The sequence below is a fragment of the Homo sapiens genome, chromosome 11 (genome assembly GCF_000001405.40).
Source record: "Homo sapiens chromosome 11, GRCh38.p14 Primary Assembly".
Lineage (NCBI taxonomy): Eukaryota > Metazoa > Chordata > Mammalia > Primates > Hominidae > Homo > Homo sapiens.
The window spans coordinates 33,654,260-33,674,995 of record NC_000011.10 but is presented as its reverse complement, the minus strand read 5'-3'; the positions used below and the strand labels follow the sequence as shown (position 1 = coordinate 33,674,995).

The window sequence follows — 20,736 nt, the reverse complement described above, 5'->3', positions numbered from 1 at the left end:
ATGTTGCTGCCCAAGCTCAATGGATCCATAAGAGTCCCAGGGTTGTGACTGACCACCAGGGCACAGGGATGCCTCAGAAATTGGTTGGTTTGTCTGTTTTCATTACAAGAGACAGGCTTTCTTACCTTTGAAATCTCCTTGGCCTCAAGGCCACTTCTTACTCAATATTCTGCCTTCTTAAAACTTTGCTTTGAATATGGTCCATCATGGCCTCTCTGAGTCTTGACCACCCAATTTCAACATCTACTGATAACAGACTCTGTCTCTTGGTATTTCCTAGAGAGAGAATCCAGTTGGCCTAGCCCATGTGTTGAGCCACATTTTTGTGGCTGGTCAGCCTGTGAGCTTGTGACTCCTGGGTCGATATCTCTCCTGTCCAATAGGCGGAAGCCAGAGGGCAGAGCAGGCGGCACCACATATGTTCTCTGGATAGGGCTGAACATAAGGCAGGCATCAGGACTGCTGGGACTCACATAGGGTAGGACAGATGGGTGGTCTGGGGAGCTGGTGTCCCATACCACTGTCATTCTTGGACTCCTTGGGAGCCACTGACCTGGATGAGACTTCTTTATGCTCTGAGAATGGCACCTAAGTGGACATTGGCTTCTTCTCCCTTGGGTCCTGTTGGCCCCAGGAATACATCTTTCTTTAGCTGCTAAGTCATGGGTAGGCTGAAACTGCTTCTCTGAGGCCTGTGGATGGCCAGGGGTGAGCATTTTTTTGGCCCATGAGCTCATCACCCAAGCTGGGATGGCTCCTGAGACCACACTGGAATGTGGTCTCCAGGACTGGAATGGCTCTTTAGCAACCCCCAACAGGCACTGTTTTGTGGCTGGCTTGTGAAAGGGATTCCATCTCACCATCTGGAGGAGGTAGAATGAGAAACAGGCAGGTTTTGGGGTATGAAAGCCTTTGTCATTTTATTTTACAATAAAAAATTCTAACAGCATATGAACACTCTGTTCCCGGCAGAGGCTAAGGACGTACAAAGTTCATTAGAAAGCGAAGCATTAAAATAACAACAGCTACATTCAAAGCTTCTGCTCAGTACTTTGCCCAATGTGTCTAATATGGTTTTAAAGACTCACCGGTTGGGGTTTTTCACCCAGAGTTAAAGCACATGTACAAGTACTTACATATCCTCCAAATCATAGACAACAAGGACAATAACAGCAACTCCAGATGAGGCTAGATCTTGTGGGCAATTTCAAATTTAGGAATTTCTTTATTTTTCCTTGGCAAAACATGGTGTCATGGAACATGTGACTGTATAAATTAATTCAGCAGATAGGAGGAGCTAAAATATTTTCCTGGATAAAACCGAATTACAAAACTAATAATTTAGTAAGAATGGCTTCAAGTGCTTGTCAAGCCATTTTCAGATACATTATGCATGTGCTCCTCAAAATCACCATGGGAAGTACAGAGGGTCTTATACTCATTTGACAGATGAGGAATCAGAGACCAGTTTAAAGTGAGTTGATCAAGGTCTAGGATATTTATACCTTTTTCACAATTTCCAGTCCATTCATATGCCTCTGATTCTGTTTGATACAAATCTTTTCTCAGTTTGTGTGTGAGATGGGGGCGTGTTTAAACATAAGGAAGAAATGAGGAGAAATAAGATGGGGCCACAGTAATTTATGTAAAATATGTTGATGGCCTCTCTCCATAATTTGCAAAAGTCTGACCAAAGTCAGAGAATGAAAACGATCAATTTTTAGATTTCACTTATAATGGCTCTCACTGAAGTATGGTTTGACCAATGGAGACAGATTCTGCCATATCACAAACTTCCCATTTTTTTTAAACCTGCAGAATCAGAGCAACTGCATATCTTCTAAAGTAATGTGTGTGTGGCACAATTATATTTCCTAAATATTCCTTCTCAGAAACACCTTACATTTTAGCATTTACCACAGGCTAGGATTCTGTAACAGTTCACCTAAGAAATCAAGAGGCCTTTCAATTCTCAGGACACTAAGTTATTATATTCAGAAGGTCACAGCCAAAAAATAATGTAAGTTTCACTTGAAACCAATTTTGTTTCAAAAGACTCTGTTGAGGGGCTCATTGGTTTTCTTATCCATGCAAGTGTGTGGCCGTGAGCCACATTAGTAGCACCTGAGCTAAGATCATGCAATTCAATTTACAAGTATTTATTGTCTGCTGAGCAAGACATTGTGCTAACTGGGCCTTGTTCAGAAATCGCTTCCTAGACCCAGCGGCTGTATCAATAACTGGTGGTGGGGTGAGAAGTGGCTGGGGCAGCTCTGGCCAGTCTAGCAGAGTTTCAAGTGTGTGCACCCTCACCTGATGTGCAAGTGAAGATGCCCCTTTTCTCTGTGTGGTAGTATCCAGGGGACTGCTCTCCGAGTGCTGGCTGCTGCGTGGCATGGCATCCCAGGAGTACTAGTCAGTTCCAGTGTGTAGTAGGTTCTTTTTGAAGGTCTTGCCCACTCATGCTCCTTCTTCTGGGTACCAGCCCCCAATAAAAGTCCCTGCTGAAAGGGTCAGTCCATGGGGCCATGCTTAAATGACACGGCCCTGCCTCCTTGGTAACAGGTGATTGGACAGGCACCTGACCCCAGGGTGGCTCACCCATAGGCAGATGAACTAAACCAATCAGATCCTCAAAAATTTGCCTTAGGCATCACAGAGATGCTAGTCAGAGCGTGGTGGGTACTGAAAAGGAAAGGTTGTGTGGAGTGGGTTCTTGAGGGGTGGATTTTTCAGCTACATATGCACTAATGAGAAAGCTGGTTGGCCAGGAGAAGCAAGAGAACCAGGCAGATAGATAGGCAGAGGGAAACAGAGAAGAAAGTCCATGAGGACAGAGAATGTGAGAGCAAGAGCAAAGGTAGCTGTCTCCATCCCTTTCCTGTAGGGGAGCCGTGTTCTGTGTTTGTGAAATGTCCCTCTATTCTTTCAGCCAACACCTGCACTTCAAGTGTGAAAGGGTTTCTAGTCCTTGCAAAACTCCTTGCCTGGAACACCTTTGAGGTTGGACTGAATGGCAGAATTTAATTTCCAACACTTAGACCCCAGTCAGTCCCTACTCCAAGCTAAATGACACTCTTTCCTTAAGAGTATTTGGATGTAGTTTGTAAATAAAATCCAAATTATTTTCTGGTGTGTGATAAGAGGAATTTAGGATTAAGTACAAATCCTGTTTTTAAACTTTTAAGACAGTATCTGTTATATTATTCATTAAATGTTGAGCACCTGTGTGCTATGTAGAAAAAAAGGAAACTCGTTTATATGTAATCAATGTTTAAATCTTTTGATCCATTTCTCTAATTTCTGCCTGTTAGAAAAAGCATCTCTATTAGTTAAATTCCTCACCTCCTCCATTCTACATTCTCTCTCCGAAGTAGGGTGTGTGTGTGTGTGTGTGTGTGTGTGTGTGTGTGTTTTAATCACAGATCTATTTCCTTTCTTCCATCAAGATTACTCAGACATTACATGTCCTTCTGCTGAGTGAGTTCTTAAATTAACAAACTCACAATAAAACTTCTCCTGGGACCAGGGAATTGATTCTTACATAATCTACCCTGAAAGAGGAAACTCCTTGCTCTGTAGGTAACAGCTGCCATCTTATTATGCACAAGCCTCAGATCATAGGTCTCAAGCCACACAATGGACCTTTACTGCACCTCCCCTGATGCAGAGCATGGACTCTGCTGCCTCACAGTGACACAAAGTCAAGGGCCTCCCTGCCTGCCTGTTGGGATCCTTGGTGCTGAGACAGGAATGCACCCCCACAGTCTAGAACAGCAGTTGAGGTCTCCGTTTCCTTGATGGTACTCTTTCTGGAAAAAGCCAAAATGCATTTCTTTTTCATGAATGCAGAAAACTCATATCAAAACCAGCACTGAAAACTATTTATTATGCCACAAATGCATCATCCTCTATACACTGTATCTGAAGTTCGTTATATACTCAATCATCTTTTTTCTTGGCAAGAACATTATGGAGTTCTTCATATGACCCTTATCTTTTTTTTAAACCTCTAGGCACAGCTAAAGAAATGTGTTACTGACAAGCCTGCAGGCCACATGGCGAGATGGAAAGCAAGCAGGTTCGTGAACCAGGAGGTTGGGACTGAATCACTGGGCCAGTCACTCCACTTCGTGGTACTTCTGCTTCCTCCTCCAAGGTCAACCAAGGTCCTTTTGTGGCTTCTGTGACTATCTAGAGGGTTCTGATGAACAGGGTGTTTGTTCATTGCTGCCTCCTCAGGGCTCTCTGGGAACCTTATTTCAATTCCTTGAGGCACTTTTGACCATCTCTTAGAGTCAGCTGTCCAGTCATCTCTCTCACCTCTATGAGGTTAGGAGATTCTTCAGGGAAGGGACCACATCTCACTCACAGAAAATCTGACCAGAGTGGCTCTGTCTCCCCATGAGTGGGATAACATGAACAGACTGATTTCTTTCCAACTTAAGGTTTTCCTCTCATCTATTAATACTATTCTTGAACCCATGGTGTCTAGTTTAAGACAGTATCTGATTTAGCATGCTATCTTTTTAGTCGTCTCAGTTGACTCACTCAGTATTTCCTGGGGCTCTGTAAAGACCACAGTGATTTGTGACTCCACCCTCTTAGCACTCTGGAGCCATAGCTCTGCAAACTGTAGACTCAGTCTCTGTAAGTCATTGAAACAGCCAAATTTCAGACACTGTCTTCTGAAACATTTACGTATACTTCAATTACAGTAAGATCTTGAAACATCATTTTCACATACAGTATTTCCAGGCATTTACCAAGTAGACAAAGTACTGGTTGATATCATTGCACTAATGAAATATTATTATTGATAAAGCAGGACAATGTAGCTGATTTTATCAGACTCATACCATTTGCATGAACAGGCTGAGTTTCTTTGGCTCTTTGTTCATTCAAGTGCATTGAATGCCTATGTGGATAGACGTAGGCATTGTGTTAACCTGTCAATAAAATCTCGCACTGTCCACAGTGTTTTGCAAACTGATTTAGGTTTTGGACTACAACAACTGGCCATTGATAGAAATATACCATATATACACACGGGAATTACAAAAATACATTTTATTTATAGCTGATTTCCTTTTTAAGTAACAAAACACTAACACTATGAAAGATCAACCAGCATACTAAAAGGACACTACCTATTATCATCCGAACAAGAGACTTGTTTGAAGGTTCCATGACACATCATCTCTGAACATTCCAGAAAGGGCAGTTTGCCATTGGAAAATATAAACAACTTCTTTGAAAAGTCTGTGCATTGACAGTTTGAACCTCCCCTTCTAATCAGTTCCATTTCTAGTCTTCTCTCAACTTTTAAATTTCTACTATCTTCTTTCAGTAAAGACCAAAGAAACTCGTTGAGGACAATGGAAGATGGGCTCAGAAGAAAATGGATACAGCTGAAGCTAGATGGGTCATGGGTGAAAGCAGGACAGGACCTCATTCTCCAACAGATACCAAGTAAGCCCCCAACACTGCACAGGCTGCCACACTTGGCGAGGGAACCAGAGTCCCCAATCTCCCTGCTACACAAAGTCAGTAGCTGTTTTGCTTGCATTGATGGGTAGGCAGCGGCTGGTGCCTCAGTGCCGTGAGGCGATGTCCTCTACCCACAGCTCTGGAAGCCAACTCACCATGCCAGGGAGGGCAACTTGCAACATCATGGTCACAAAGTGGCCACCCTACCATTTCAGCAAATGTCTTCCTATGTCCATTAACTAGGGGGAACTGGCTAACTCCATACGCTTTTTAAAAGGTTATTTACATTTAAATGAAATTCAACAGCTTTTCTACATTCAGAAGCTTCTATAAACAGAGGCTGCGGCCTGGGAAGACTGTGGTTCTACCACTCCTGTTTCTAACAGGAATCAAGTACTATTTCCTTTTGTACCACTCAGCAGCACACACTGGACATCATTGTTGAAGAGACAGAGATTTTCTTGTAAAAGTTGATGTATCTATTATCCCAAGAAAAAGAGAAGCTCCATTCTCAGGCCACCTTCAAAACAAGGCAAAGAAAAACCTTCACAAATAACTGTGTTTCTTTTGTAGGATCCTAAAAGCTCTTAGCACCGATTCTCTTTCAGTTAGATCCTAACTTGTAGGGGACTTTTATTTCCAAAATGGCAACACCTTTTAAAAAATCTGTCAACGCAAATCCACCATTCCCTCTCATCTTCTCTCTTTCTTGGCCTTTGTTTAATTGACGAGGGAAACAAAGAATCAGGTCTATTTATAGGCACAGCCATTGGTACTGACTTTCATCCAGTTCATTTGACTTTGAATATGAACCTAAAAAAAAGGGGCTCAGGTTTCTTGGCTGGAGTCAGTGTCTCCCTTACAAACTGATTTTAATGCGCACGGTCATGGTTGAATGAGAATACAGTCTGGTGCTTAATCCACACTCCTGCATTGCCTTTAACACAGAAACAGAGTTAACATGCAGAGGTCACCGAAGATAAGAGCTACATTCTCCCGCTTCCGGTGATTTATTAAAATGTGGCATTGGATAGGAATCTGTAGATTAGCTAGTGCCTCTTGTGACTAAGCTTCCATAGGGCACATGCCCAAAGTTCAAACATTTGACATGAGAGAGTATCAAACATAAGGCCCCAAGCCAGGGACTTGACCCACAATCAGTTGGATGAGCCAAGAATCTAGTCGTTCAAGAGTTTCCTGTTCCCAGAAGCCCCATAGTTCACCTTTTCAGAAATGGAGGGTGAGAAAGACTCACCCATTGCTATGTCTCAAGTCCTAACACGTAGGCATGGGAAACCCAAAGGCTGAGTCCTCAGAGTTTGGAAGTCCAGAGTCCCACGGGGCTAAGGCGTTAGACCTGGAACTCAAACATGTCTGTCTGTTTTTTGGCCAGCTTGGCCACCTCCTCCCGGATGGCCTTCACAAGGGCCGCAGTGGAGATGTTGGTCAGGGGAGCGTCAGACGGGTCGTTTTCTGCCAGGCTCTGCTGCGAGGCCGCTGTGGAGGGCGCCGGGGCCTGCTCCAGGCTGGGGTGCAGGTTGGCTGGCTGGCTGTACTGACGAGGAAGCCTGGAGGGAGAGCTCTGGGGGTACCGTGATCGGGGGTAGGCCTCGATGTACCCTGGGAGGGGCACCTGCAGAGGGCGTGGGGAGAGAAGGACAGGGCCTGGCATGAGGAAGGAGCTCAAGTCACAGGACACACTTGACACTGGAAGCAGGAGGGGGCTGAGGACATGGAAGAGAACTTAGAAGAAAATGGAAGCCACATACCATTGTATAGATATAAAACTCAGAGTCAGTTTGTTTAGAAAATAGGTAATTTCGGTGGCTCACGCCTGTAATCCCGGCACTTTGGAAGTCCGAGGTGGACGGCTCATGAGGTCAGGAGATCAAGACCATCCTGGCTAAAATGGTGAAACCCCTTCTCTACTAAAAATACAAAAAAAATTAGCCAGGCATGGTGGCATGCGCCTGTAGTCCCAGCTACTTGGGAGGCTGAAGCAGGAGAGTCACTTGAACCCGGGAGGCAGAGGCTGCAATGAGCCGAGATTGTACCACTGCACTCCAGCCTGGGCGACAGAGTGAGACTCCGTCTCAAAAAAAAAAAAGGTAATTTGGACTCACTCACTAGATATACTGTTTGGATGAATTAAATAGGTGTTTTAAACTTTGCTGAAAAACCTTAGGAATATATATTTTGCTGAAAAACCTTAGGAAGATATATTTTGCTGAAAAACCTTAGGAATATATATCTGAGTCTATATTTGAATCTACCTGGCTACCTTATTTTTATTACTATTATTATTTTTAGTGATGATGTCTCACTCTGTCATCCAGGCTGTAGTGCAGTGGTACAATCATAGCTCACTGCAGTCTTGAACTCTGGGGCTCGAGTGATTCTCCTGCCTCAGCCTCCTGAGTAGCTGGGACTACAGGTGGGTACCACCATGCCCAGCACTTAGTTACCTTATTCATATAAGTACAATCCAGCAAACAGAACTGTTTATGTACCCCAGAGGAACCCAGGGGTTGATTAATAACAACATCGACTGAGCCCTTTGCTAAGGGTTTTCCACACATTATCTCATTTAGTTCTCAAAGCAATAAGCTAGGAGGTCGGTATTAGCCTTACCTTGCAGATGAGGAAACTGAAGAGTGCCACGGTCTAAGGCGACAAGCTACCAAGACACTCTTTGCAGAGGTCTGTCTGCTTTAAGGGCTGGAATTAATCACTGCATTACAACGTCTTGGATCTGGGATATGATTTTAGTTTCTTGAAACATTTTTCTCTCTTCATCAAAAGTGGAAGACACAGAGTCCTATGCTTAAAATATGTAAACTTCTAGGAATAAGGACAAGTAAGTAATTTTGAATTTAGAGTCGATTCTCCCACAGAAACAGTGGCACATACAGGGATGCTGTTTCAGGATAGTCCACATACCCCATGATGTTAATTGGAACACTATAGAATAAGCACCCACAGACAACAGAGGCACAGGGTGCTATGGCGAATGAAGTATGTATGGGAGGACTCGGCAGCTTAGATGAGTTTGGAAGTTGAACAGGGTCCCTCCAGGAAGATGCAGTGGGAGGGGGATTCTGGGCAAAGGGAAAATCAAATGTAAATCATCAAATCAAAATGTATGGGCGTACTGATGGCAGAGGCTGCTGCCATCATACTGGCTGCAGCAGGGATGCGTGGCTAGGGCTGCACACTCCATAGAGCCAGTGGGAGCCCTGCCCCTTCTGAGTTGGAGCAGGAGCTCCCCTGGATGCTGCTGCAGCCACCCAAACCATGACTGCAGACCCAGGCCTCCTGCTCTATGGAGCAGGCAGGAGCCCTGCCCTCCTGGGTGGGGCTACAGCCACCCAAATTGTGCTGTGGATTCGAGCCTCCCTGTGGATTTGGAGGGGGCCAGAAGCAGGCAGGATCTGCCCTGGGTACTGCTACAACCACCCCACCCATAGCTGCAGACCTGGCCTTCCCCCTCCACGGAGCAGGCAGGAGCCAGAGACAAGTTGGAACTCCACCCCTTCAGAGTTGGCAGGTCTGGAGCTCCCTGGGTGCAGCTGCAGCCACCCTCCCAGGCACAAGACTGGGCATCAGCCTGCATCCTCAGCATCTTGGGAAGGTGCCCCCCTCCCTGCTGGCTTGGGGGTGTCTGCTTCTGCTGCCTGGCCTCTCTCTTCCCCCTGTAGGGGCTCTGATTTCTGAGTGGGGTTGGGGACAAGCCCCCAGGGCCATGAATGGCAAGGGGTGGGGCGGACAGACAGACTCCTGGGTGGAAGAGGGCGGGTCTCCCACAAGGCCCTACCTTCAGAAGGCCAGGGGGGGCCTGAAGGTTGGGGGCCACCTGCCAGTCCTCAGGCTGGAGTGGGGACTCGTGGTACCTCTTCTGTCCCACCCATGGACCAATCAGCACACACTTCCTCCCCTCTGAGGTCCATAAAAGCCCTGGGGCTCAGTCAGAGCAGGGCAGAAGAGAGAGAGACTATGGGACAACCAGCAGCAGAGAGGAACTACCCTCCCTGCTGAGAGCTTCAGAGACATGCAGAGATGTCTGAACAAGTTGCTGCGGAGAGGAGCCACGCTCTCCAGGGCCTCCTCTCTGCTGAGAGCAGCAGACAGTGGAATGAGCAGTGGGCAGAGAGGAGCCACCCTCCCCAGGGCCACCTCTTTGCTGAAAGCTGAACACTCCATGGGATGACCTGCCTACAGAGAGAAGCTACCCACTGTGGGTCTCCTCTGAGCTGTTCTAACACTAAATAAACCTCCTTTTCACCTTCTTCACCTTTCATGTGTCTGCATACCTTATTCTTCCTGGACCCAGGACAAGAACTCGGGCAAAAGCACCACCGGCCACAGAGGTTTCCAGGAAGAAAACTGATACCCCAAAGATCCCATAACAGTACAAAAAGAAGAGTGTCCCCAGGAAGCATCAGTGACCTCAGGCTGACCAGAGAGGGTGTGTTTAGTGTGGGAGGAGCTCAGGCAAGACAGACAGGACTGGATTCATAAGCTGCTGAATATCAGGCTACAGAGTCTGCATGTCCCGTTTGATCTACCCGTTTTCAATGTCACACTTCTGAGAAATACAGCCTGTTCCCATGCTTAACAGCAATGCTCATCTGGCTCCTAAGGGAGGATGGAGCAGGAAGTCCTAGTCTGTTCTGGCTGCTATGCTGAAATACCATAAGCTGGGGAGCTTATAAACAACAGAAATTTCTTTCTCACAGTTCTAGAGGCTGCAAAGTCCGAGATCAAAGTGCCGGCAGATTCTGTATCTATCTGGTGAGGGCCCACTTTCTGGTTCAGAGACAGCTGTCTTTCTTTTCACTATCCTCTCACATGGCAGGAAAGGTCAGGGGTCTCTCTCACGCCTCTTTTCTAAGGGCACTAATCCCATTCATTAGGGGGTTCGCCCTCATGACCTAATCACCTCCCAAAGGTCCCATGTCCTAATACCATCACCTTGGGGGTTAGGATTTGAACATATGAATCGAGTGGGACATCACCAATTGGATGGGGTGATGACTCAGAAACTCTAGATGGGGGATGTGTGGTAGGAAAGCAGCCCCCTCTCCTCCCTGCTGGATGTTCCGGTGATCCCTCCTGAGAAGGCAGGTTCCTGAGATGTGCGGCTGACGCCTGGCTGGGAGCCACGGATGGGTGTCAGGCAGAGGGGGAGTCTATATTTGGAAAGGACACCTGGAGGTGGACCCACTGGAGGTAGGGAGCAGACAAGTTCTAAGGCTTTCTCAATGGGTCGGATGAGAACTGATGAGGACCCAAGCCAGGAAAGAAGTAACAGAACAGATGTCCCAAGTTACAAGTTGGGACTTTGATTTCCCCACAAGACCCAGCAAAGATAGACAAAATGGCACTAAGAGTGGGTCTTTATATACAAGCACTGATATGTTTCATTTGTATCTTAGAGGAAAACCAGAGTTGGGCTGTCTGAGTCCTTGGGCCACATGAGCTGGGAAGGTACAGGTTATTGGGCTCACCAAAGAACCAAGACCAGGACATGGGGTACGTATTTCAGATCTCAGCTCAAATTTCCTTTCTTTCAGGAGACCTTTCCCAGCCCAACAATTGCCTAGGGGTCCCTGTTAAATGTTTCCTTGCACTTTCTCCAGCGTAACAGTTATTGCTCCTGATGCCATTGCCTGTCTCAGGCTGTCAACTCCATGAAGGTGGAGAGTGCCTCACTTGCTTATTGCTGTACACCAGTGCTCAGAATTGTGCAGAGCAAGAGCAGGGAGTCTCTCAGAACCTGGGGTTCTGAGGAGCACAGTCTGAAAATCACTGAAGAATGATTGGCTGGGGTCAAATTTTTGAGAAGGAAGCTACCACATTCCCTTTCCCTGCATTTCAAATTCAGCTAACTGTACTTGCTGTGGCTGAGAGAGCCAATGTCCAACTCCTGAGACCCCTCAGCTCTATGGTATCAAGCTTGTTGGTGCTGGTGGCTGGGACAGGCAAGGGATACCTGATCCCACTGGAGTATCCTCAGGGCAATATTCAGCAGCAGGGCAGAAGCAGGGAAGATGACATGAGAAACTCTTCCTCCCTTATAGTAGATGCAGGCTGGAGCCATCATGCCCTTCCTGCCAAAATTCAGGGCTGGCAAATACTACTACTTCCCTAGCCAGTGCCCATGGCAGACATCACCAACTTTATCACAGCACAGTTTCCTGCTGAGCCTGGAAGCCCCTCCCAATCCTTCTCCATCTGGCACCAAGGATGAAACCTATTTGTTATCCCAGGTCCAGGTGATTTTATCCAAGCTAGCTGCTGGGATCAGGAAGGTCAGACATCCAAATGCTGGTGAGGGACTTTGCTTTCTCACATAGATGTGGAAGGTGTGCATTATTCCTGGACCCTTTTCAAGCTGACAACTGGTCTCTCTGAGCCTCCTGCACTTATTTTCATATGCTATAAATCACCCGTTTCACCTTGCTCCTTTCATGGGCACGCCTCCCTGCTTAATTGCAGGTGATAGTTGGGCTCCAGGAAAGGCCCAATTAGGCTGCAGCAATCATCTTCCTCTTAATTTAAAACAACTAATAGGACATTGGTTCTCCTTCACACTGGGAGATGAGCCCAGAAGGGTCCAGTACAGTCATCATGGCAGGAAGGTTACATTTCCATTTGCTTGGTTCCTTTCTCTTCATCTTTAAGGCAATTATGAGCCCAAAGGCATCTAGATGTAGTTATAAGCCTGGCTAAATTATCATTTTAAGTGTCTTGAACACAGGGGTCAAGGTTTTGGAAAATACTTTCACCAACTCCAGTTGGTGCCCAGGGTTACACTCCACACAACAGGTGAAGTGTCAAAGCTGCAGGCGTAAGGGAATTACTGCCTAAGTAGTTCAAGTTAAACATCATCTACTTTCTGAAAAGTCTGCATAACTTTCAGATGAAGTGGAATTACAAAATCAATAACCTCTGAATTGCTCAAATCATATCCAGTGGTATCAGCCATGTGGAATAGCAGAGAATGACAAAGGACACAAAAAAGGCCCCCAAACAATACAAACAGATGCCGTAAAGTCCCACATTCAGATTCACAGACTGAACAGCAGGGGATCCCTCTAGTTCCTCTCTTAGAGCTTATTTACTCCAAGTTTACAAACAATTCTAATGAGCACAGATAAGCCTCATTTGCAGATAATGGCACATGATGCAAAGCACACTTAAGGGTGGGCATATTACTAGATGTGGGGACATTAACAGCAATATTGAGTGGCCACTAGAAGCAAAGTCAGAAAAAAAATATACTGGGCCATGATAGTAACTCCAAAAATTATAGTAGTTTGGAGATATTTCACAATATAAGGTCAATAATCCTACAAGCCATGAGAGTTCATCCTACAAATGCCATTTTAGTATAATGAGGCATCATAAGGATACTGAATCATTCATAAAAGGCAAATTACATTGTATACTCTTTTAACGGAGGAGAGGGAAGATAGCATTCATTTCAGAAATATTTTTATGCCAAGCTGCATATATTTTTAAATGTTTTGGAAATTAAAGGGGTAAGACTTGGTCATCTGGAAAATTAATAAATGTAATAATTCAGTCTTGGGTTTCTTTTTTTTTTTTTTTTTTTTTTTTTTTGAGACATAGTCTTGCTCTATCGCCCCAGCGGGAGTGGAGTGGCGCGATCTTGGCTCACTGCAACCTCTGCCTCCTGGGTTTAAGTGATTCTCCTGCTTCAGCTTCCCCAGTAGCTAGAATTACAGGCACTCACCATCACGCCCAGCTAATTTTTGTGGTTTTAGTAGAGAAGGGGTTTCACCATGTTTGCCAGGCTGGTCTCTCACTCCTGATGTCAGGTGACCTGCCCGCCTCAGCCTCCCAAAGTGGTGGGATTACAGGCATAAGCCACGGCACCCAGCCCAATCTTGGGTTTCTAATCCTTCATTTTCTGACATTTCTTCTAAAACTTTACAGAATTATTATGCTAAAAGAAACGAATTTAATAAAAGCTTTGGAGCCAAACAGGTGTGGGTTTGAATTCTGTCCTTGGCATTTCCTTCCTAGCTGTGTGGCCTTAGATAAGTGGCATCCCCTGACTCGGCCCTGATTTCCTCATCTGCAAGATGGGAGTAATCACGGGAATAATACCTACCTAAGATTGTAATAAAGATTAAATAATATAAACAAAACATCTGACAAGGTGTCTAGTAGATAGAAAATACTCAACAAATGGTAGTTATTATTATAAAAATGTACTTGATTAAGGTCGTCCTGCTAGGAAGAGGTGGGAGCTGGACTAGAAGGCAGGTCTCAAGGTCCTCTGTCAAGGGGACATCCCCTCTCACCACACCATCTGTCTCCTTTAAAATGGCTGACTTTAGTCATCCGGGTACTGTGAGGAGGCTGAGATAACAAAACCTTCAGTCTCAACCTTTTATCTAATTTACTTTTTGGCATGTGTTAAGCAGGTAAAGTTTTATGAGGTGAAGAGCAAGGGTCTCACCGAATCTGCCCACTGGCTCGGGAGCTCATTCTCTCCTGCATAGGACATCCAGGCCTGGTTCCTATAGGATGAGGGAGGCGTTGGGATGAAGTAGCCGGTGAAGCCAGGTCTGTTGGCAGCTGGGATGGCGAACACTGCTGGCACCGTATTACCTGGCATGGAGGAAATGGAGGAGGGAGGTTAAGAGAGGCTGGTCTGAGGGATCCAGCCACCCAAGAGCCAAATAAAGTCAGTTTCATTGGCTCCCTGGCTGGCTGCTGGATTTGAAGTCTCATTAAATCAGGTCTGAGCTGAGGGGAGCTTGCTCTGGGCTGTAACATTTGCTGGGGAATTTAGTTTCATTTAAGGTGCAGTGGACCTGGCCATGATGGCTAAGATCCCAGGTGATGTAGCAACAGAGGCAGGTGGGATGCGATGGAGGAAACCTGGTCTTCTTTCTTTTTTTTTTTTGAGACGGAGTCTCGCTCTGTCGCCCAGGCTGGAGTGCAGTGTCGCGATCTTGGCTCACTGCAAACTCCTCCTCCTGGGTTCACGCCACTCTCCTGCGTCAGCCTCCTGAGTAACTGGAACTACAAGCGCCTGCCACTGTGCCTGGCTAATTTTTTGTATTTTTAGTAGAGATGGGGTTTCACCGTGGTCTCGAACTCCTGACCTTGTGATCCGCCTGCCTCGGCCTCCCAAAGTGTTGGGATTACAGACATGAGCCACCGCGCCAGGCCACCTGGTCTTCTTTCTTTGTGGACCTCTTCTAGAGCCACTGTGCACAGCTGGGCAGATGGTGCACTGCTCAAGAGCATCTGGCCTAGAGGCCAAGTGGGCTAAAGTCCAGACAGTATTCCCTTTGCCAGGGGTGGAGTCTGTACTCACCTGGGGAAGGAAAGTCTTTTTCCAACTTCACCAAATGCAGCATGCACTAGTAGTGCTCTGGAATTTTCCCTTTTTCTCATCCCCTAAAGAGGGAGTTGTGGGCCCAGCCAGCACCCCGCCCACTAGGCCTGCATCTGCCCAGGCCTGGGGAATCTAGGGAAGCAGAGGAGGACTCTGGGATTGGCCGTGGCTAGGGGATGAGAGGACAAAGGTCTCCAGGGGTTGGGGGAGCAGCAGACCTCCACCTGCCATGCAGCCCCACTCACCCTCGCAGTCAGAATGAAAGGGCATCATCTGCTGGGACTCAGACCTGGCTTTCTACAGAAGTGGTGGTCCAACTCCCCCATCCCCATCCCAACACCCCTGACCTGCCAGCAAGAGGAAATAACACCTTGGTGGTCAGGTGTTTTCCTCCCAGGAGAGTGTGTATTTTTAAAGCGCCAAGAAAAAGAACCAAAAGAAATGGACTTCACTGGTGGAATTTCTAGACACCATGAATGCTTTACTAAGTGCTGGCAACTGAGTGCTTGCAGTTTTAGCCTAAAAGGTATGGTTTGGATAAACTAAGAAACCAATTACGTCATGTACAAACCTCAATGTTCATTTCAGCATTGTTTGTTATAGCAAAAAACTGGAAACTACCATTATGTCCATCAATAGGGAAAAGTCTAAACTGTGGCTTATCATAGAATACCACATGGCAGTTTAAATGAATGAACTAGATCTATATAGTATGTGTATAGCAACCTGGAGAAATTTTTTAAAACACTGTTAAATAGAGAAAGTACAAAAGGAAATGTATGCCATGATATCATTTATGTAAATTTCAAATACATTAAACATTAATATATACTGTTATATAAACATACATATGTGGCAAAGGATTAAAACCTATCACCTGAAGCCCGGGATCACCTTTTGAGAGAAGGGGAATGAAATGGGGGTGGATGGCTGTATCTGGAATGCTTTAAAGACAAAACCAAAAAAATTGAACTGAAGTCTGGCAAAATGTTAACATACATGCTGACTTTAGCATAACTTGGGATTTTGCCCAATTTCAGATCTTTAAAAGAAAGAAAATCAGCAGCTCTTTTAGTTGGGGCTCCTGAAGTTATGAGGGGATCCAGAAATGCAGTGGCTGTGATTCCTGAGGGTGGTAGGTAGAAAGGAGATTGGAACTGGGGATTTGAGGGAGGACAGGGCACAGCAGCAGTGGTGGGGGGCACACTCGGGCTTTTCTCTTGCCCACCTGAGTAATTTAAAGCCGACTGATCCAACTGCGTCACGGACACAGGGCCTCTGGACATCTGCGTGAAGGAGGCGCTGTCGTGCAGCTGGGCCGGCTCGGGCCCTGTAGACTCGGCCATTCTGGTCTTGCTGCCGATGTCTGAGGTGGATCTAGATGGGGCAGAGGGACTGCGTTAGCACTGTCCCAGACCTCAGGCGGCGTCCCGAGCAGGAGGAGTGCGCCCCGTCACCTTTGGGCATGGACAGCTGCCTCCAAGCCTCATGAGGTCCCCAGGACTGGATTTATTCCCAGATAACAAACGGACTTCTAGGAACACCAGCAGGGCAGGAGGCACCCAGACTTGTAGCAGCTGTCATGGTGGCCTCAGCTGAAATCATTTTTAGACGTTCAAGGTCAGTTCTCCCCTAAGGGTGGCTCTCATGTCTCTGGGTGGTAGAACATTTAATTTCCACATAAAATAAGAAAAGCAATTAGCCTTGGGTATTAGCTGGGGATGGTCGACCCAGGGGGTGATGACATCATCAGCAGCCAGTGGGAAGGCTCTCTCTGGAGTGCCTGGTTGCTCCCTTCTCACCGACACCAGAAAGGGGACCCGGGACAGCTGGGGAGCCACATTCCCTATTCCTAACTGGCAGGAAGCACCAAGCCCAAGACTTGGAAGCTCGGGCTGCTCCAGGGAGCAGTGGACATTCTAACAGAACTTTTTTTTGTTCCCCGGGCAATCAGAGAATCAAGCCCATTTAACACATCCTATTTCCACTTAGTGCTCAGAAAGCCGTGTAAGAAGAGGGCAGCCTAGGCTCTGTAGACGTGGGCATCTCCTGGTTTTTCCAAAGGGTCCTTCAGCCACAGACCATTTTCCTTCACAAGCATCAACCCTTGCCTGAGGCAGTTTCACAGAGGGACTTCAGGCTCCCCTAAAATTAGCCCAATGGGAGAGAGGCAAAGACAGCTGCAGCAGGCCTGGCCCCCCACAGGGCCACCCTCTGAGCTAAGCAGTGGCTGTCACAGAGCAAATGACAGCCACGGCAAGGGAGAACATGGGAGGCAGAGGTCTGGGTTCCAGCTACCTTCCCTTTCATTATTTTTATTTTTTTGTTTTGAGACAAGGTCTCACTCTGTCACCCAGGCTGGAGTGCAGTGGCACCACCTCGGCTCACTGCAACCTCTGCCTCCTGGGTTCAAGCGATTCTCCCACCTTAGCCTCCCAAGTAGCCGGGATTATAGGTGCATGCCAGTACGCCCACCTAATTTTTGTATTTTTAGTGTAGACGGGGTTTCACCATATTGTCCAGGCTGGTCTCAAACTCCTGGCCTCAAATGATCCACCCGCCTCAGCCTCCCAAAGTGCTGGGATTACAGGCATGAGCCACCATGCCCAGCCTACGTTCCCTTTCCAAGCCTGTTTCCTCATCTATACAATGACAGGGGTAGACAAACTCATCTCAAAGGTTCCTTCCTGGTCTAATCCTGAGTTTATATGAAGGGCAGTGCACCCCCCACCCCCGATATGTGGCAAGATAGCAAATGGCGTGGAGGGGCCTGGGAGGAGACAGGTGGTTGAAAGAAGAAATAAGAAATTGATGCTGGCCTTCAGCAAACCTCCCACAAATTGCTGGTATGAGGCCCCTCCAATCCAGGACTCTCAGGAGTAACCAAGAAGCCCGTTGCTACTCTCCTAGGAAGGTCCAATGTGGAGGCTGTATGATGTGACCGTTCATCAGGGTGGGGTCTCCCTTCCTCCCTCTCTGCTTGCTTGTTCCCACAGCCCTGGCTTCCCACACACTGTTCCAGGCATCTGCTACTTGTTCAGAAAACCCTTCCTGGGAAAATTTCTGAGTTATGCTCGATAAGCAATTCTGAGACCCCTTTCTGGGGAACCCTGGAGCTTTTGAGATCATCTAGGCCCCTGTGCTCATGTTACAGATAGAGAAACAGGGGCTGGAGGGGCAAGGCCAACTGCTGGGGCTGCACAGCAGGTCAGGGTCTGCTGCTTTCCACCCAGGCTCGGCTGGTGGCAAGAAGTGACGTCTACGCCCCTCCGCATTCTAAACCACTGGCAATGAGAGCGGGGTCCCTCCTATTCCGAGGGAAACTCCTATTTTTCTTCCCCATTCACAAAGCCCAGACCCATGGTTCACAGATAGGATGTGATTTGTATGTTGGGGGAAGCTGGAGTAGGAAGGCCAGGGCAGTGGTCCACATGTACCCCAGGGCACAGTTCTAGCCTTTCCCAGTGCTCAGGGCTTTTGTTCTTCTTGTCCATCCTTATTAAAAACATGCCCTCGTTAGATTTTCCTAAAGCAAAGAACATGCTTAACATATGTGTTGCAATTGAGATATCTGACTTCATACATTTTCAATCTCTCCCTCTTGGAAGTCAAGAGTTGGGGTGGATGCCCAGACATGCCTGCCCCTCCCTGGCTTCTCAGACACCACCCTTAAATAACCAAGGGACTTTTGGTAGCAGCTGTTGTGGTAGCCTGAGCTGGAGTCATTTTTAGATGTTCAAGGTCACGGTCTGAGGCTTTCCAGGTATGGGGCAGTTGACCTTGGGCTTCTTCAACTGTGGATTCTCAAGAACTTTCTGGTTAAAAAGCACAAAAGCACCGTGATCTGTTCATTCATGGTACTTGGGATGCCACAGGCGCATGGTTGTCTGTACAGGTGACACACCCTGGATGGGGTGGAGCATGAAGGAAATTTGCCGGTGCTGTTGTCAGGTCAGGGTACATAGGACTGACCCTTTTCCAAATATTCCAAACAAAACAAAGAAAGGAACGTGTTACCGCCTGAGAGAAGCGACAGCCACAGGACCAGTCCGGGGAGGTACGGGTGGAGGCGGTGAGCCCATGACCATCTCAGGAAGCTGGGAAAACCTGTAAGCCTGTGAAAGAGACAAGCAATACAGGGAGAGTTGTTAACACCCAGGGTCGATCAGCACACAGGTTCCTCTTGTTTGAGGAGGAAGCAAACTTCCAAGGGTCAGACTCTGCCTCCTTACTCAGACTTTTTTCTAAGATCTTCCCTCACATGTTTCCAGCCATCTCTTCTACTGCACCTCCCACCACTCTCGCTGGGGCCACTGTACTTACAGGGCCCTCCAACCATTCTCAGAACACGCCAAGTTCTGTCTCACCTTGGGCTTTTCTTCCACCTGGGTGCTTTCCTCACCATTCTTCCCAGGGCTTCACGCTTCATTTCATTCATCCAGCCCCAGACTCCCCTAGAGCCCCATTTATCTATTTTTCATCATGGCAACGATCACTCTCTGACTTTATATGGTTGCTTGTTTATTTACGATCTGCCACCAACTAGAGTGTAATAAGGGCAAGGGCTTTGTTGTCAGAGATATCCTTATACCTGGAACAGTGCCTGGTATATAACAGGTTATCAATAAATATTAGATGATTAAATGGATGAATCATTGATTGTGTTTTACTTTCTCTCAAGGGAGAGCAGGTTTAGTGGAGAAAAGCAATGGATTTGGAGTGAGGACGTATGTGTGAAGGTCCTGATGAGCAAACTTTAGGTCCTTCAGCAACTCAGGTGACCTTTCTGGACCTCTTCTGAAATGGGGACAACAATGCTTGCTCAGAGGGCTGCTGAGAAGATCAGGTAAGTCTGTGTGTGTGTGTGTGTATGTCTTTTGCAATCTATAAAGCACTATTCAAAGATAAAAGACTAGAACTGTCACCAGAAAAGTGAAGACTTTTATCAACATGTGAGGGGATAAAAGCAAAACAGACAGAGACAGACAGGATTAGAAAGAGCCAGGCCACAACCTCCTTTAGCAAGAGAAAATCTAGAAATGCTCTCTGTGAAGACAAAGCTTCACTTGCGGTTCTCATCCGTTTCTTTCTTCAGGTATTCTGCCCATCAGATCTCTCAAGGAGGAGGATGACAGGATTTTAAACCTGAAGGCATCAGGACAAAAAACAGCAGCACAGGGGATCCACAAACAGGATTCTTTCAACTGAATAATGAAGTCTTCTCCCTCCAGCATGATGGCAGACTACATCTTCATAAGGGCCAACCCACTCAATAACGACGAGGTCCAGGATTAAACCTACTTTTTAATGCAGTGTGAAACTGCAAGATGTCAGGGAAATCCCAAGGGACTATTCCCCTACCCCACACCTCAGCAAACTAAAACAAAACCATGAGCTGAAACCAGAGGTGAAAATACTGAAGGTAAGCAAATACGAATGGCGAAGTGGCCTGGAAAACAAACGCCATATTGACAGTTGATGAAGAGATCAAGCCTTGGAACAGAACGAGGTGAGGTGGCTGAACCTGAGGCACTCACCTCCAACACAAAAGGAGGCTAGCATTGGTCCCTTCTAGGGAGGGAGGATGGATGGCAATGATCCCAGCTCAGGCAGAAGCAATTGTAAATCCTTGTTGGAGAAAAGTATCCCTAAAGCAGTCTCTCAGGATTAGCACCGATTAAGATGAAGCAAGTGGAGCTCATGATCTAAGACCATGAACACACCAGAAAAGTGAAGTTAAAAAGAGTAGAAAAAACAAACAAGATTCAGACCTTTAAGGACTTTAGAGTTTGGAACTTCCAGACACAAGACAAAAAATAACAACGTAAAAAATGTTTTTAAGAAATAGTTGACCAGGCTGGGTGTGG

General features: G+C 46.7%; 1 protein-coding gene and 1 long non-coding RNA gene across 10 annotated transcripts in view, besides 2 other annotated features; one reads left to right on the top strand and one right to left on the bottom strand.

Moving 5' to 3' along the window:
* Nucleotides 1–893: 893 nt before the first annotated feature.
* KIAA1549L (KIAA1549 like) overlaps nucleotides 894–20,736 on the bottom strand; it is a 297,995-nt gene continuing 278,152 nt past the window's right edge. For 7 of the 8 annotated variants that reach the window (XM_047426719.1, XM_005252848.4, NM_012194.3 and 4 more), the window contains 4 exons: nucleotides 18,887–18,984; nucleotides 16,098–16,246; nucleotides 13,982–14,133; nucleotides 894–7,123 (listed from right to left, as the gene is read on the bottom strand). In XM_047426719.1, coding sequence (XP_047282675.1) covers nucleotides 6,842–7,123; nucleotides 13,982–14,133; nucleotides 16,098–16,246; nucleotides 18,887–18,984 — 681 coding nt within the window. In that variant the 3' untranslated portion in view covers nucleotides 894–6,841. Of the gene's footprint in view, nucleotides 7,124–13,981; nucleotides 14,134–16,097; nucleotides 16,247–17,467; nucleotides 18,985–20,736 lie in introns of those variants that run through there. The other variant, XM_047426721.1, reaches the window with a different exon arrangement.
* LOC105376617 (uncharacterized) lies at nucleotides 4,009–20,723 on the top strand. 2 transcript variants are annotated; one of them, XR_007062647.1, is made up of 4 exons: nucleotides 4,009–4,081; nucleotides 5,351–5,472; nucleotides 19,551–19,715; nucleotides 19,965–20,723. It is a non-coding gene; the product is annotated as an uncharacterized LOC105376617 (long non-coding RNA). The 2 variants fall into 2 exon arrangements; XR_007062646.1 differs by lacking the exons at nucleotides 4,009–4,081; nucleotides 19,551–19,715; nucleotides 19,965–20,723 and adding an exon at nucleotides 9,432–9,780 and having other exon boundaries at nucleotides 5,391–5,472.
* Nucleotides 18,434–18,523: an enhancer, noted in NCBI's record as "active region_4582". NCBI's record gives its function as "activates an Ori minimal core promoter by ATAC-STARR-seq in GM12878 lymphoblastoid cells {active_cell/tissue: GM12878}" and the evidence as "EXISTENCE:reporter gene assay evidence [ECO:0000049][PMID:35858748]".
* Nucleotides 18,640–19,839: an enhancer, noted in NCBI's record as "MED14-independent group 3 enhancer chr11:33676703-33677902 (GRCh37/hg19 assembly coordinates)". NCBI's record gives its function as "activates an origin of replication core promoter dependent on BRD2, BRD4, P300/CBP and CDK7 cofactors, and independent of MED14, by STARR-seq in HCT116 cells {active_cell/tissue: HCT116}" and the evidence as "EXISTENCE:reporter gene assay evidence [ECO:0000049][PMID:35650434]".